Source organism: Homo sapiens, chromosome 2, assembly GCF_000001405.40.
Source record: "Homo sapiens chromosome 2, GRCh38.p14 Primary Assembly".
NCBI lineage: Eukaryota > Metazoa > Chordata > Mammalia > Primates > Hominidae > Homo > Homo sapiens.
In genome coordinates, this window is record NC_000002.12 from 14996461 (window position 1) to 15014124 (window position 17664).

Genomic DNA, 17664 nt, shown 5'->3' on the forward strand with positions numbered 1-17664 from the left:
AAGCTGTCCGTCAAGGTCAAATCCCCATTCCAAATCACGGGACATCTGCTTCTGCCTTGCCCACCTGCCCATGTCTCAGCCCAGAGGGAAATACTTCCAACATAATTGCTCTGGGCTGTCGGAAGATATTGTTGTCTCTTTGCGATGACAGATGCCCTCAGATGCCAGGAACAACATTGGAAACCTTGACTTGACAGGGCTGAATTTAATATTATGGGAAGAAGCAGTCTGCTGGGGATCCCAGAGCTCTTTCTGCCTTCCAAAGGGCAGGAAAGCAGATGCTGATATTGTAAGAGAATCTTTCCTTAGACAAACCAAGTACAAAATGCTTCAAGGACTCAGAAGGAAAAAAGCTGTCACCACCCCCTCAATTTTCTCTCTAGCAAAGCTGTGTGCAAAAGTTAAAATCTCTCTTCTCCATCCCAAGGAACTCAAGGGAGACACACTGAAATTTTCAGAAAGATCCTTATCCAAACAACAGGAAAATTAACAATACAGATTCTAAAACAAACAAAGAAAACAAGACTGTGCTTGAATTTAGAAAACCCAAGTTTCTGACCCTATAATAGCAATTTTATGCTTTTCTTTTATAAAAAAAAAATGTGGTGCCAAATATCTTACTAAATTATCGGAGCTCCATGATGAGAACTTATGGATAAAGGAGAAAACAACAGATACTGGGATGTACTTGAGGATGGAGGGAGAGGAGCAGGAGAGGAGCAGAAAAGGAGCAGAAAAGAGAAAAGTATTGGGTACTGGGCTTAATCCCTGGGTGATGAAATAATCTGTACAACAAAGCCCGATTACATGAGTTTACTTATGTAAAAAACCTTGACACATACACCTGAATCTAAAATACAAGTTAAAATAAATAAATAAATAAACTATACGTGGCTTCCCTTTCTAGTCTGGCACATGAACTTGGTCTTCTGCAATGAACTAGTTCAGCTCAACATTTGCCCAGCACTGACCCAACGCCAGGCCCTGTGCTTGTTTTTTTTTTTTTTTAATTTTCCCCAAGCTTTATTGAGGTATAACTGACAAATAAAACTATAAATTTAAGATGTACAACATGGTGATTTGATGTATGCTTATACTGTGAAATGGTTATCACAATCAAGTTTGTTAACATAGCCATTACCTCACATAAATACCTTTTTTTGGTGGAAATATTTATCATGCACACTCTTGGCAAATTTCAAGTAAACAATACAGTATTGTAAACTGTCATCACCACGCTGTGTATTAGAGCCCCAGAGCTCATTCATCTTATAACTGGAGTCTATATTCCTTGACCAACATCTCCTCATTTCCCCCAATCCCAGAGAGTAGAAACCATCCTTTACTCTCTGCTTCCATAAGTTTGATTTTGGTCTTGGAGCCAAGAGATGAGTCAGACATTGCTGGCTTCCAGGCAATCACAGAAAAGAGACATGAACAGAGGGGCAACCTCTGTTAGGTGAGATAAACAGAGGCACAATCCTAATTTATTTTGGACTTTCTCATCTGTTCCTTTCTCCTCGCTTTTTCCCATTCAGAAAGTCTCCTCTCTGGTTGATGGTCTATTCTTTACACCCTACCTGTGTCAGCAAACAGTACATCTTACCTTCCAGGTCATGGTGGCCTCCAACTAAACAGTATAAACTCAACCAGTTGGATTTCTGACTTTCCTGCAGGACTCTGGGAAAGAAAAGAAGTCTTGAGCCTATTCCCTTTCTTCTTTCTCCCAAACACGATAGTGCACTAGGTGGTTGTTTCTTCTTCCTTTGATAGATTTTCAAAACATAAAAAAAAGAAAATGGATGCTCTGATTACTTAAGAGATGTGCCCACATTTTCAGAACTAGTAAGTGAAAGTTGGGACTTTGCCCAGTCTGCCAGCCAGCTAAGCCCACGGGTCTCCTGCTCTCACAGGTTGTTGGCTCAACAATCTCTAGAGGCAAAGGCCCACACAATGGAGACCTGCAACAAGACCCTGTCTCCTAGGAGTCAGCTGCTTTGTCCTCAGGGTGTCCTTGGGTGAGGCGGTACCTTACCTACGTGAAGCCCAGAAAAGAGAAGAGACAAAAGGGTGCAGTTTGCTACTGCAATGGTGAGGAGAAAATGTACAAATTGGGGGAAACAGTAAATCCAGTATCAGGCTACTCTGGGGGATTCATGTCCCATTCCCTTCCCTTCACAGTTCCACATTCTAGACTTGTATGTGAAGATAAGCTGCTTTTTCTCCCAAATGCATATGTTAAATGTGTCTCACATACACACACACACACTGCAGTTGCTATGGGAACCATCCTGGAGAATTTCCTGTCTTTTATGCAATTAAAATTTCACTCTCACATCTTCTTGAAGTGGAATACACTTTCATTCACAAGAGGACACTAAGAAAAAGGTCTCCTGATGAGTTTCATTTCCAATGAGCAGGCTGAATTTCTCCAAATCGGATCATCTTCCAAGAGACTCCCAGCACGCTGGCAATCATCGAATTAGTCCTAATTAATGTTCAGGTGAGCATACAATGCTCAGGCACTGAGTGAGCCTCTCTCTCCTCTTGGCTCTGCAAACTACAGCTTCCCTGCTCCCTCTCAGAGACCCTCTAAAAGTCTCTTCACCTTCCTGGGCCTCTACCAGCCATCTGTGGCAGACCAGAAAGAAGGGGGAGCAAATGCCCATTAATTCAAGGCTGCAGGAATTCTGCCATTGTGACAATTCTCAGAGGGCTCCACTCCAGTTAACCTTCCCTCTCTCGGTGGAGAAGGAGGCTTGCAAATGACTCTTGTTAATACATTAATGTAAGCTAGCCAACTATTTCAAAGCACTGTGGAGGAGTCCATTTACAAACCTAACCTGGGAATTGCCAAGTCAGCATATAGAAGGACCGCTTGAGCCTATGTACAGATAAAAATCAGTTTTATCTGATATGGTTTGGCTCTGTGTCCCCACCCAAATCTCCATGTTGAATTGTAATCCTAATGTGTTGGAGCAGAGGCCTGGTGGGAGGTGATTGCGTCATGGGGGCGGATTTCCCCCTTGTTGTTCTGGTGATAGTGAACGAGTTCTCAGGAGATCTGGTTGTTTAAAAGCATGTAGCGTTTTCCCATTCGCATGCTCTCTCCTGCTCCACCATGGGAAGACATGCTTGCTTCCTCTTCACCTTCCACCATGATTATAAGTTTCCTGAGGTCTCCCCAGCCATGCCTCCTGAACAGCCTGTGGAACTGTGAGTCAATTAAACCTCTTTTCTTTGTAAACTACCCAGTCTTAGGTAGTTCTTCATAGCAATGTGAGAATGGACTAATACATTATCTATTAATTTATCTATTATTTAGTTCATTGGGTTGGAAGCAGAAGACCTAAATTTATATCTCATTTGCAATATTTACCGCCTATGTGCTCCACAAATATTCAAAATTCCTTGAACCACACATTTCTCATCTGGAAAACAGGGCTAACAATGCATAGGGTAGTGTATACCAGATGATGTGGTAAATGACAAATGACAGTGTGAACTTTGCAAATTGCAGAATGTACATGTAAGTTGGTTTTATTGAAGTTATTGCCAATAAGGCCAAGTTCATATACAACTTGCTTGCCAAACTGTGAGTGAAAAATCACAGTTCACTCTATTATTTTATTACTTAAAAATGTTTTTAGTGAGTGACGAATATCAGGGCACATGTACATGTGGGCGGTGAGATTGCCATGAAAGTAGGCACCATGCTGGCTTAATCTCACTGGGCTGGGATCAAACCTTTCTTATCAATTCCTTAAAGCAGGATAACTGCCCTGTATCTGAAAGTAAAGTGCTTAGGCTTCACTGAAAAAACAAAAGCCAACCACTTAGAATGAGATACTCCTGGGTAACTCTGGACTAGTCAGTTTTCAATACATAAAACCACTCTTTCTGCTATTTAACCCAGTTTTACAAATAGGCATAAAAATGAGCCAATGTCTTAGAGAAGATGGGAGCCTGACCTTGCTCCTCAGAATGCAGGAACACAAATCTGCTGAGGACAGAAAATATACATGAAAGCCCCAGCACACTGACCGAGAGTCTAGTCATAGATGATTGCAGTTGCTATGACCTAAACTGAAACTGATTATTTTCCAAAGTTTATGTCCCGCCTACCTCCTGTGGACTCAGCTGCTCTCAGGTAATATGACTGTAATGAATGCTTCCAAGATTCCAAGAAATTGTGAAGGAGCTGGTGATGAATATTTAATACCGAGAGGTGAAGGATGATAAATAAACTGCATTTCTAATTTTCTCTCTGATGAGGACGTTCTACAAAGGCAAGCGGTGTGCAAAGCATTTGGGATGGCTCAAGCCCAATGACAGTAGTGATCAGGCTCCTGCTTGAGAGAGGCCACTATGTGCCAGACACACCTGGGCACTTGGCAGTCATGTTCTCACAGCACCTTCAGAAGGGCCTGGCAAGCTAAGAATTCCTCTCACCATTTTATAGACAAAGTAACTAAGGTGCAGAGAGGGTGAACGACACACCACACAGCCAGTACATGATGGGAACAGACATGGGCATGAGCGTGTCTGAGTCCAGGACAGCACGGCACCCCTCCCACAGGCAGGACTGGGAAGAAGGAATTCCAGCAGTCATTGTCCTAACAATGTTCAAATAGCATAGGCTTGATGACACGTTATGAATTTCCAGAGAAATTTAATGCCCTTATGAGGAACACAAGGTTGATGGAAGGAATCATTGAGTGATCTCTCTACTATTGAACTATCTACTTCCCAGACCTTTCCTTCGCCAGGATTTTCACATATATACACATATAGAGAGAGAGAGATATGTTATATATATATGTATGTTATATACATGTATATATGTTATACACACACACAGCTATTCCAGTGCTACATGTGATTTTATATATATAACAAACAGCCACACATTTGCTTGCTATTCCAAAATCACTTATTGAATATCTCCCATATATAATGTAAGATATTAGACTTATTAGGTGATAAAAAGATGATTACAACTCAGTTCTTATCCTCATGGATTTCAGAGACTAGCAGGAGAAAACCTACATACTTAGATTACAAATATAGTTATATTACAATAGTTATAATGCTACAACATAGTAAATGTCAAATCAAATTATAATTTGACATATCATATATATATAATACTCTAACATAGTATTGTGTCCAGAATTTGTGGGTTCTTGGTCTCACTGACTTCAAGAATGAAGCCGCGGACCCTCGCAGTGAGTGTTACAGCTCTTAAGGTGGCGCGTCTGGAGTTTGTTCCTTCTGATGTTCGGATGTGTTCGGAGTTTCTTCCTTCTGGTGGGCTTGTGGTCTCACTGGCTCAGGAGTGAAGCTGCAGACCTTCGCGGTGAGTGTTACAGCTCATAAAAGCAGTGTGGACCCAAAGAGTGAGCAGTAGCAAGATTTATTGCAAAGAGCGAAAGAACAAAGCTTCCACAGTGTGGAAGGGGACCCCAGGGGGTTGCCACTGCTGGCTCGGGCAGCCTGCTTTTATTCTCTTCTCTGGCCTCACCCACATCCTGCTGATTGGTATAGCCCAGTGGTCTGTTTTGACAGGGCGCTGATTGGTGTGTTTACAATCCCTGAGCTAGACACAAAGGTTCTCCACGTCCCCACTAGATTAGCTAGATACAGAGTGTCGACACAAAGGTTCTCCAAGTCCCCACCAGAGTAGCTAGATACAGTGTTGATTGGTGCATTCACAAACCCTGAGATAGACACAGGCTGCTGATTGGTGTGTTTACAAACCTTGAGCTAGATAGAGAGTGCCTGCCGATTGGTGTATTTACAATCCCTGAGCCAGACATAAAGGTTCTCCAAGGCCCCACCAGAGTAGCTAGATACACAGTGTCGATTGGTGCATTCACAAACCCTGAGCTAGACACAGGGGGTTGATTGGTGTATTTACAATCCCTGAGCTGGACATAAAGGTTCTCCACGTCCCCACCAGACTCAGGAGCCCAGCTGGCCCACCAGACTCAGGAGCCCAGCTGGCTTCACCCAGTGGATCCCGCACCGGGACTGCAGGTGGAGCTGCCTGCCAGTCCCACGCCGTGCGCCCACACTCCTCAGCCCTTGGGTGGTCGATGGGACTGGGTGCTGTGGAGCAGGGGGTGGCACTCACTGGGGAGGCTCGGGCCGCACAGGATCCCACGGAGGTGGTGGGAGGCTCAGGCATGGCGGGCTGCAGGTCCCGAGCCCTGCCCGGCGGGAAGGCAGCTAAGGCCCGGCCAGAAATCGAGCACAGTGCCAGTGGGCTGGCACTGCTGGGGGACCCAGTACACCCTCCGCAGCTGCTGGGCCGGGTGCTAAGCCCCTCATTGCCCAGGGCCGGCAGGGCGGGTCAGCTGCTCCAAGTGCGGGGCCCGCCAAGCCCACGCCCACCCGGAACTCCAGCTGGCCCACAAGCGCCACGCGCAGCCCCTGTTCCCGCTGGCGCCTCTCCCTCCACACCTCCCTGCAAGCTGAGGGAGCCGGCTCCGGCCTTGGCCAGCCCAGAAGGGGGCTCCCACGGTGCAGCGGCGGGCTGAAGGGCTCCTCAAGTGCAGCCAAAGTAGGAGCCCAGGCAGAGAAGGCGCCGAGAGCGAGCGAGGGCTGTGAGGACTGCCAGCACACTGTCACCTCTCAGTATCAAGTATTTTAAAATGCTCAAGCCATTCAGAGGAGGGAGAAATTAATTTCCAGAGCAGAAGTCAAGGCAGGCTTTTGGGGATGCAGCATTTCTTCTGGGCTTTTAGGACATGAATGTTGGTAAGGGGAAGGAGATAGTGTAGGTGGAAGATGCCGATTCTGTACTCCATGTGTTTTGAATGATCAAGGAGTGTCTGGATTGGTGAAGATGATCTGGCAGTTGCTTATATTCTTGTATTTATTTGCCCACTCATGCTTTTGATAAATACACAGGGAGTGCTTATCAAGTGCCAGGTGTGGTTCTAGGTACTGTGAACACAGCAACAAACCAACCCACTCATAAAACTTACATCCCAACACCAAGAAGACAGAAGAACAAATTCATTCTGCATCTCCCAGTTCTCAAAGCTATGAAGAACAATAAACAGGTAAAGGGAAGAGAGGGAGAATTGTACTATTTTATGTAAACGGACTAGGGGAGGTCTCTCATTCTCTCTTTAAAGGTGAGCCACTGTGTAGCTCCTTGAGAGTGAGGGGACGAAGGGTCTCAAGCCTCCTCCTCCTCTGAGCCTGAGCCCAGCCAAGAGATCTCTGAGCTCTTCTGACAGAACAGCTTCTCAGAAGTCATTACCACTTTGTCACTTTTTTGAATTAGGCTCTAACCAACCAGGGGCAAAATATTTATGGCAAGACAGTCTTGGCTGTTAAAAAGCAAATCACATTAAAGCACCTGATATTTCAAGTTCTCCACTGGATTAGTTTTAATTAGAATGCTCTCTCGCTGCTGAAAGATAAATGCAGGACACAGTATCAGAAAATCGGCTTTACTCTAGTGACTCGTGCAAGATAAATCAACTTGAGAAACTCTCAGTTGTTTTCAGACATCTATTTTTTAAATGCCGTAAAAAAATTGGACATACTTTAAAATATTTTTAGGCCACTGGAATCTATAACATTTAAGAGTGTGTCTCAGAACCAAGGATTCAAATGCACAATCTCGCATTATCTTCACAAATTGGATTCCTGGCCTCTGGTCACTAATAAACTTAGTCTCCTTCAACGTAGAAAATCGTTTCTTTACTATCCAGTTCATTTAGCACAGCGTCAGTGTTTGTCCCTTTTTTACTGTATTTTCTGATTTGATGCCAAATGTTTAAAATAAATGATATCTAGACCTACAAATCTATGCAAACAATTTACAGTTTCGGGAAATTTTTAAAAATAGCATTCAATTAGAATTAAGGAAAAGTTTTGGCACACAAATCATGTTTTCAATATTTTTATCATTACATTTTCCTGATTTTTATATTTGTTTCAACATTGTACACAAGAATCCTTGATACTTTCCCCCAAACTGGCATGTGATGATTTATTACCTGCCAAACGGTGAGTGAGGAAAGAGTTACCCTTTGTTTTTAAGACAAGAGTCTCACCCTCTGTCCAGACTGGGGTGCAGTGGCACGATCATGGCTCGTGGCAGCCTCAACCACCAGGCTCATGTCATCCTCCCACTTCAGCCTCCCAAATAGCTGAGACAACAGGCGCAGACCACCACTCCCAGCTGATTTTTTTTTTTTTTTTTTTTTTGTAGAGACAGGGTTGTGCAATGTTGCTCAAGCTAGCCTCGAACTTCTGAACTCAAGCGATCCACCCCCCCTTGGCTTCCCTAAGTGCTGGGATTATAGGTGTGAGCTACCAGACCCAGCAACAGTTAATTTTAATTAAGACTTTAAAAAGTGTTTTCAGGGATCAGTGAGTGACAGATATCATACATTGTATTCTATGGTGAAGTTTATATTTTCAATAGTAAAATTATATTAATAAGGTTGTCAGGATCTGGATTCCTTAGGAAAAGCTGGGAGAACTTCCTGCCAGGAGTGAGCTTAACACCCAAACTGACAACAATTAAACATTGTTTCACTCAGACATGCTGCAACTGTATTATGAATTTTGGCAAGTCTAAGTTACTTGTGCTTATAAAATAAAATCCTTAACACCAAATTTTTAAAAATTCTTATTTTATCATGGTAAGAATACTTAACACAAAACCTACCACCTTAACAGATTGTTAAATGCGCGCATGGGTATTGTTCTCTATAGGCATGATATTACACAGCAGACCTCTAGAATGTATTCATCTTGCATAACTGAAACTGTACACCTGTTGACTAGCGACTCCCCTTACTCGCTCCCCAACATCCCTGGCAGCCACCGTTCTATTCTGTTGCTTCTATGAGTTTGACTATTTTGCATACTCATATTTTAAAGGGGTAGGATTATTTATTTGGAAGAGCGATTCATTTAGTTATTCATTTACACAATGCACTAGTCCTTTTCATCATTTTACTTTACAGTCAGAATAACTCTGGGAGATGGGCATTATTTCAAAGGTTAAGTGACTGCCCCAGGCCATGGCCACATGAGTGGCAAAGGCCAGACTGGAGCCCAGGAATTTCTGACTCAAGGGCAGAGGGGGCTTGTCCCTGCACTGCTGTTCCATTGGAAATGTAAAGGCGAAATAGGGACCAGAGTTCCAGTGGCATTTCTTTCATCCAGATTCTCTTATCAAAGAAAGCTTGGCTGCCTACCTGCTAGAATTTAAGAAAACATGTGACCCTAAACAAGCCTCAGCAAGAGTTGAGAACACTGCACAACTCTCAGGAGACTATTTACTTCCATATTGCAGCTACCTGATACCAGGCAGTGTGATAGCTTGAACCATATTGCCGTAGTTTTCACAGAGAGTAAGAAACTTACTATACTTCTGTAGACATGGAAATCCTTTGAAATATTTGAGTGAGCAGTAATGTGATTGAGGGTATTGCTTTTAGGAGTAATTCTAGCAACATGTGAAGGATGGTTAGACCAGAGGTAAGGGAGACCAGTTTGAAGCCAATCCAAGATGAAAAGGCAAAGAACATGAAAAACACAAATAACATCAAGAAACATATGTGGTAATGAACTTGGTAAAATACTTTGTTTTAATAGTGACTCAATAAGTTTACATGAATTGAACATAGGGTTTTTAATTTAAATTAGCAGAGTTCAAAAGTAAGAATATCTAGTGCTAATGAGCACGTATTATAATAGAAAAAAAATCACAGTCCTTCCAAGAAACAAATTGTCAGCCTTTATCAAGAACTTATCATATTGTTTGATTCAGAAATTCTGCCTTTGGAAATTGATTCAAAGGAATTCTCCGGAAGCCAGAAAAGAGGTTTTATGCACGATGATGTTCATTATGGAATTTTTTATGAGAGTGAAAAAATGGAAAACACCTAGGTATTAATGGGGTATGTTTACTGTGTCGCCTCTATTTAAGGCATTATTATAAAGCTATTAAAATATATAATTATTAAGATGGTTTTACTAAATAATAACTGAAAAAATATTAATTGTATACACAATATGATTACAACTATGCTTTAAAAATGAAATCTATGCTAGCGTAAAATATGAAGGATTCCCATGAAAAGGTCAAAGGTGATTTCTGTTTGGTGATAAGACTAAAGTCAATACTTTATTCTTCTTTCTGTGGTCCTATATAAAAATAAGCTTTATTTAATACATAACTATTCGTTTACAATTAAAAATACGATTTTTAAAATGTCTCTCCCAACTTTCCAAGCACCTGCTTTGCAAACTCAGATGTTCAAAGAAGCCAACTGGTTATGCATGTCCAGCCATCAGCAGTACTTGGGACAGGCCAGCAAGTACTTTCAGGTTCATACATGCTAGCTTGTCCCAATGAGCTCTCTGAGTTTATTAATCCTCACTGCTGCAGGAAGAGGTTTGTGGTTATTGTTCTGTTTCTGACTTTCATTTGTATTTCCTCTACTCCTTGATGTTGGTCATGAGCCTTCACTTAGGATCTACTTAAAACATCATTAAACACTATTTAGTCCTTCTTTGTCATCATTAAGGTAGACATTAAGTCAGGAATTCTTAACCACCCCAGGGGACCTTGGACATGATGCCAAGCAAGGACACAGGACCATATATCATTTCACTTTGCTTTCCACCAAGGGCATTTTTAATACATGTGCTGATTTTCATCTTCATAGAATTTGAACTAATTTTAAAACTAAATTATCCGGATACACTAGGTGAGGCAATTATCTAAGGCCAGCCACTGAGCGCCACCATGGTCTTTTTTTCCCACATAATGGGTAATTCCACTTAGAAACCAGCAGTGGCTGCTGAGACTCATTCAGTGACATGCTGTTTGATAGGTAGGAAGCCAATTCTATCAATGTTTTTGATTTTCCCTCTTAATGTTTGTTTCATTTATTCATGATTTTTAAATTCAAGCATATCTTAGAATTTGCCATCCTTTGCTCTCTTGATTTTTAAACTTATGCTGTTTATTTGAAGGAAGCGAAGTTTTTTTTATTGCAGTCCTTTTTCTTGTGGAGCTTTTTTGTTTTTTCTTTGCGAACTACATATTTTACCAGAAATCAGTATGTAGAGTTAGTGTAAAGGTCCCTGTTAATAGCTTGAGCTCTATCCCAGATTGTCTGAGCTTCTAATCTCATCAGATTGTCATCTGGGAAACTGTGATTCTTTCTTTTTAGTGGAGAGTGCATTGACCAAAAAAGATCTCCATCCAACTCCAGATATCAAGCATGGCTCTCACTAGGATGATAGTAAAGGCTAAAGACCATTAAGTAACAAAATGTTTTGAAAATGAAAAGAGCTTGGATTTGGTCATCTGATCTAAGTTCAAATCCCAGCTCCACAATTTAGTATACTGCATGACTTTAATAGTTACTTAAGCTTCCCAAAGTTCAGTTCCTAGCTCTGTAAAATGCAGATAATAATACCTAACTTAAGAGCTATCATGAAGATTTACAAAATAATGTTTTGAAAGTGACAAAAACAAAATAACATGACATAATTTGGTCCCTCCATCTTAGGAAGATGTTGCTATGCAACAGATGTTCCAACCTGGACTCCCACTGACAATTTCCCCATTAGCCATGGCAACAACTTCCAACAGTTATGGCTCCAAAGTGTCACTCTCAACAGCAATGACAACCCACAGAGGTAATTACACCCAGAAACAGCCTTCAGCAGTGGCAATGCCAAACAACTGTTGCCACTGAAGAGTCCGCATAGGGCCTCATCATCTACTCCCTGGGTTCCTTAGTCACAGAGACCCCGCTAAGTTCTGTCTCTCCAGAGCACAGAGTACACCACTCTTGTGTGCTACAGGATGCTACCAAAGACCCATTCCTCTTGGAGTTAATTCACTAGATTAGTCTTGATGCATCTCCAGTTCTCTCCCATGGTTCCCTGATGCCAATCCAAGTCTGTGACATAACCTCTCACTCCAAGTGGCCTCTCCAAGGTCCATTCACTCCTGGAAGTGTACTTAGGTAACCAGGAACTTGACCAGAACCTACAGTTTCCTTTCTCATGTCCCTTCCACAAGGCACTATCTAATTGACATAAATGGTGCCTCAGAAATCACTCTGGAGAGCCCCTCATTCCTCAAGGTATAGACACCTCTGATCGGGGCTACTTGCTTACCTGTGTACCATGATTTCACTTTCTATCATGATAATTAAATGCCACTCTCCTTAAACTTATTTAAAAAATAGGTGAAATCAGGTACACATTGTTTTATTTTCACTCCTTGCCCTAAAGAATAGCAGGAAAGCACACACAGCCAGATTGGGTATTTAAATCTTTCTAGTAGCAAAAATAAATAAATTTAAATTTTAAAAACACTTATATGGGTCTAGGTATTCCCACCTCATTGTTTAAAAAATATACCTCATTTATTGGTCCCTTTGATCCTCATAAAATTTCTGTTAATCAGTTCAGGCATTTAAATTTAATAAGTGAAAAAACTGAGGATTAGCAAATTAAAGTGATTTTCCCAAGGCCATCTAACCAGTGACAATCAGAATCAGCCTCTGGGTCTCATTCAGGTTTGACTCTGAGTCCAATGCTCTCCTTAATGCACTAATAGCTGTGAGAATGCTGAACTACCATCAAGAATGACCTTTGCTAAATGACAAATGTCATAAATTCTGATAAGTAAAAACATCGCCCCTTGTTTCACAAAGGTTTGTGGACTGAGACAAGAAAAAGGAATAACCTCTCTCTTAACCAGTCTCCAGCAATCCCAGGCACAAATGGTAATCTATCCAAAGCAATTCTACAATGGCAATGTCAAGGACTCACTCATACACTGACAAATAAGAAGTACACCATCATCCTCAAGTTATTTCCTTAATGTTGTAAATACCCATTAGAAAAAGATTTATCTGTTTCCTTTTAAAGGCTGATAAAAAAAAAAGTCTCCAATTTTCAAAGATTCTTAAACTTGAACTACTAAAAATACTATTTTCAGAGCCCAAAATGAAGCTCTATGTGGTTGTTACCTCAAGTGGGCTCAGTAAATAATGCAGAAAGTAACTGGAAAGGCTAAAGCCATGAAGGATATAACATGTTGCCACAACCACAAGCTAGCAAGGTAACCTGCAACATCATACACACACACACACACACACACACACACACACACATATACACATATATATGTAGGAATGCATATATATATACATATATATGTAGGAATGCATATATATATATATATATATATATATACGGTGCATATGTATGTGTGTGCATGCATGTGTGTACACAGAGAAAGAGATGAAGCAGCCTGTGTCAGTTTCCCATAGAGCGATTCCCCACAGGACCATGCAATGTGGACCTAATATCTCTACACATGCAGGAGTTTGCAACACAGAACTAGAACCGCAAAATTATGAAACTCAGAGCTTACATAACAAACTACTGACACATCTTCCCAACTTCTCTTCTGGAGAGAGGGAGATTTTATGTTTTGCTCTGGAAAACAAACAAATCGCCTCATGGGAGAAGAGGGGAAATTCTTCAATCTGATACATAAGCAATGTCCCTAGAGAGATGAAAAGATGTTTTTAGACTTTCTTTATTACCCTTACAATGGGAACAAATGGCTCTGGAAGAGAGGAAACATTCTCTTTTTATAGTGAGTCCATGTCCATTGCTCAGAAGGCCTGACCCATACAGGAACACCAAGAAAACAGGAAGAATTGTCTTCTAACACTAATTAGCCCAGCAAGGAATTATAAACCCAGGAAGCACATTTTTGGACCAGATGATATGAAAGAACATATACATCTTCTACAGCCTAAAAAAATTAAAAATTAATATGAAGAATAAAAGGCCCTTGATTTGGGGAACTTCTGTCCCAGAGGAGTCTCTGGGAACAGAGGCAGTATTATGTTAGTGTGAGAAAAACACACACATCAATGAAAGAAAGAGGAGGCAGCAGGGAACCCTCCCACCCCCCACCTTATACCCCTTAGGTGTCAGGGATATCCTTTACCTTACCTGGTAGCTGAAATGAGGTAAACCAATGTGAAAGTGAACCCAACCAAGTTCAAGTAGTTAGTCACATTGGTCCTCAAAGTGAAACCACCTTTGAGCACTCATTTCACACAGCCCAATTTCCCAGTAACCATGTGAATCCCCAGGGTCTTATGGTAAATAAACTATTTTACAAGAAATATTCATATCTTATATCAAATATTTGTTATTCGTAAAAAATCTTATGAAATTGGTGGAGTGGGAGCTATGATTATCCCTATTACATATATTAACACAAAATGTGGCTCCAGAAAAGAAAACAACCAACAAGATTACACATAGTTGATTAATGGCAGAAATAAGATTCGAGCCCACTTTCCACGTGCAGATTCTGTGATTTCACACTAACATAACACTGCCTTCTCATAACTGCACTAGGCTGATACAACCAGGAGATATTAAAATCTAATAAATAATGTCAGCTTTTTTCTTGGAACTTTCAAATCATTCAAATAACAAGTATGATAATTTTCAAGCCATTGATTTGTTTTATTGTTGTTGCTATTGTTTTAAGAGTATTTTTAAAAGTCATCCAATTGTTGCGGTATTGTGGGGCCTAAGCATTTCACCTTGATATATGAATAAAGGCTTGAGTTACATTTTCTCTTCCTTTCTTAATAATGAATTATTCAATTTTTAAAATTCCTGACATGGTTTAGGGTAGATAGGATGGGAAAGAGACAGGAAAGGATTTGTGTTCTCTGAGCCTGTGGTCAGGTTGAAGTGCTGGGGCTTTGAACTCCAAGAGAGAGTGAGCCAGAACTCTGGTAACAAATGCCAGTCACTATCCACCCCTCAGTATAAAAGAACTTCTATGGATCAATTTGCTAAGTACATGCAAAATTTGAAGAGCTAAAAAAAAAAGTATTAAACCTCTTTTTTAAAAATCAGACATGGCCCCCCAGACCAGGTGAGCAGTCCTGTGCCTGTGTTTCAGACCGGAGAAACAGACCCATGGGCCATCCCTGATAGGCATGTCCCTAGGTCAGCTAAGCAGCTGTGCACCCATATCCTGGGCCTGAGAACTAGCCCTGCCAACTTGCCCTAGCAGGCACCCCTCCAGGCTGACTTAGCAATTGTGCACCCATGCCCCCAGCCAGCAAAAGAGCCCCATGGCCCCAACCTGAGCAATCCAGACCCCATATTGGCCAATCCACCAACCCACACATGCCCCTAACCTAAGAAACACCAAGAAAGCCCAACCCCAGCAAATTCATGCCACCACTACCACAAACAATCTCAGCCTAGGTTACGGAGACACTCACAAACATCACTAGCATGGATTATTGCTGAAGCAACTACACAGAGACTACACTACTGTGTCCATCTACAACCAAAGCCAATGCACCCCATAAAACCAACACCCCAAGATCCATCTATATGAATGAGTATTTTCCTAAAAAATCTACTCCATACAGTTGGAAGAGGCAACTGTTCCATCAGATTCATAGAAGTCAACAGAGGAACACATCAAACATGAAAAAGCAAGGAAACATGACACCTCCAAAGGAACATAATAATTCTCCTGTAACAGACCCCAATCATAAGGAAATATACTAAATGCCAGGAAAAATTTTCAAAATAATAATCTTAAGGACACTCAGGAAAATATTAAAGAATACAGATAGATAATTGAGTGAAATAAGAAAAACAATTCATTATGTAAAAGAGAAATTCAAGAAATAAACGGACACGTTTTTAAATCAAAAATCCCAGAGCTGAAGAATTCAATAACTGAAATAAAAAATACAGTCAAGAGCTTCAACAATAGACTATACCAAGCAAAAGAAAAGGCCTCTTGAAATAACACAGGTAGAAAATAATAACAACAACAAAAAGAATAAAAAAGAAAAGAAAGCTTACAGGACTTACAGGACACCATTAAGTGAAAAAATATTTACATTACAGATGTTCCAGAAAGAGAAGAAAAGAGGAAAGCTGCAGAAAATATATTTAATGAAATGACAGCTAAAAACATTCTAAGTCTTGGGAGAGAGATGGACATCCAGATCTAGAAAGCTCAAAGAACTCAAAAAAGATTTAACCCAAACAGCTTTTCTCCAAGGCACATGATAGTCAAATTGTCAAAAATCAAAGACAAAGCATTCTTAAAACAGCAAGAGAAGTGTCAAGTTACATATAAGGAAATCCATATTAGTCTAACAGTGAATTTCTCAGTAAAAATCTTACAAGCCAGAAGATAATGGAATGATATATTAAATGTACTGAAAGAAAAAGAAAACTGTCAACCAAGAATATTATTACCCGCAAAACTACCCTTCAGAAATGAAGGAGCAGTAAAATATTTCACAGACAAGCAAAAACTATGGAATTTTTTTTTTTTTGAGCCAGAGCCTCACTTTGTCACCCAGCCTGGATTACAGTGGTGCAATCTCAGCTCACTGCAACTTCTGCCTCCCAGGTTCAAGCAATTCTCCCACCTCAGCCTCCCAAGTAGCTGGGATTACTGGCATCCGCCACCATGCCCAGCTAATTTTTGTGTCTTTTTGCAGAGATGGGGTTTCACCATGTTGGCCAGGTTGGTCTTGAACTCCTGACCTCAGGTGATCTGCCCACCTCGGCCTCCCAAAGTTCTGGGATTATAGGCAGAGCCACCACGCCTGGCCAGACTGAGGAAATTTATCACAACTAGTCTGGCCTTACAAGAAATGCTCAAAGGACTCTTACATGTGGAAGTGAAAAGATGATAACCACCATCAGGAAAACAAGTAAACTATAAAACTCACTGGTTTGTCCAATAAACAAAAAATAAAGATAAATGAATCAAAACTTATTACTATAGAAAACCATCCAACCACAAAAATAAATAATAATAGAAGAAATAAAGGAAAGAGAATATACAAAATAATCAGATACAATCAATACAATCACAGGAGTGAGTCCTCCCTTAATAGTAATAATAACTTTGAATGTAAAAGATTAAAATTTGTTTAAAAGATATAGACAACTGGGGCTGGGCATGGTGGTTCATGCCTGTAATCCCAACACTTTAGAAGGCCAAGGCAGGGCATCATTTGAGGTCAGGAGTTCAAGATCAGTCTAGCCAACATGATGGACCCTGTCTCTACTAAAAAATAAAAAAATTAGCTGGGTGTGGTGGCACACATCTGTAATCTCATCTACTCAGGAGGCTGAGGCAGGAGAATTGCTTGAGCCTGGAAGATGGAGGCTGCAGTGAGCTGAGATCACACCACTGCACACCCTGCCTGGGTGACAAAGCCAGACTCCACCTCAAAAATTAATTAATTAATTAAAATAAAAATAAAAGATATAGACAGCTGCATGAATAAAAATTCAAAACCCAACTATATGCTGTCTATAGGAAAATTGCTTCACCTGTGAAGCAGCACATCACATCACCAGTGATGTGTGAACACACATCAACTGAAAATGAAGGGATATAAAAAGATATTCCACGTAAAAGGAAACCAAAAGCAAACAAAAGTAGCTACACTTAAATCAGACAACACAGACTTTAAGTCAAAAAATAAAAGGAGACAAATAATGACATTATATAGGAATAAAGGGATAGATTCAGTGAGAGAATATAATAATTATAAATATATATCCACC

The 17664-nt window shown here is 40.8% G+C and overlaps 1 protein-coding gene across 2 annotated transcripts in view; it reads right to left on the minus strand.

Annotated features, from left to right (window-relative positions):
• NBAS (NBAS subunit of NRZ tethering complex) overlaps nt 1-17664 on the minus strand; it is a 782426-nt gene that overhangs the window by 217552 nt on the left and 547210 nt on the right. Inside the window, exon 53 of one of the 2 annotated variants that reach the window (XM_017004317.2) lies at nt 1607-1764. The exons of the other annotated variant lie outside the window; for it this stretch is intronic. The gene's annotated coding sequence lies outside the window, so the exon portion shown is untranslated. Of the gene's footprint in view, nt 1-1606; nt 1765-17664 lie in introns of those variants that run through there. 2 annotated transcript variants of the gene reach the window in all.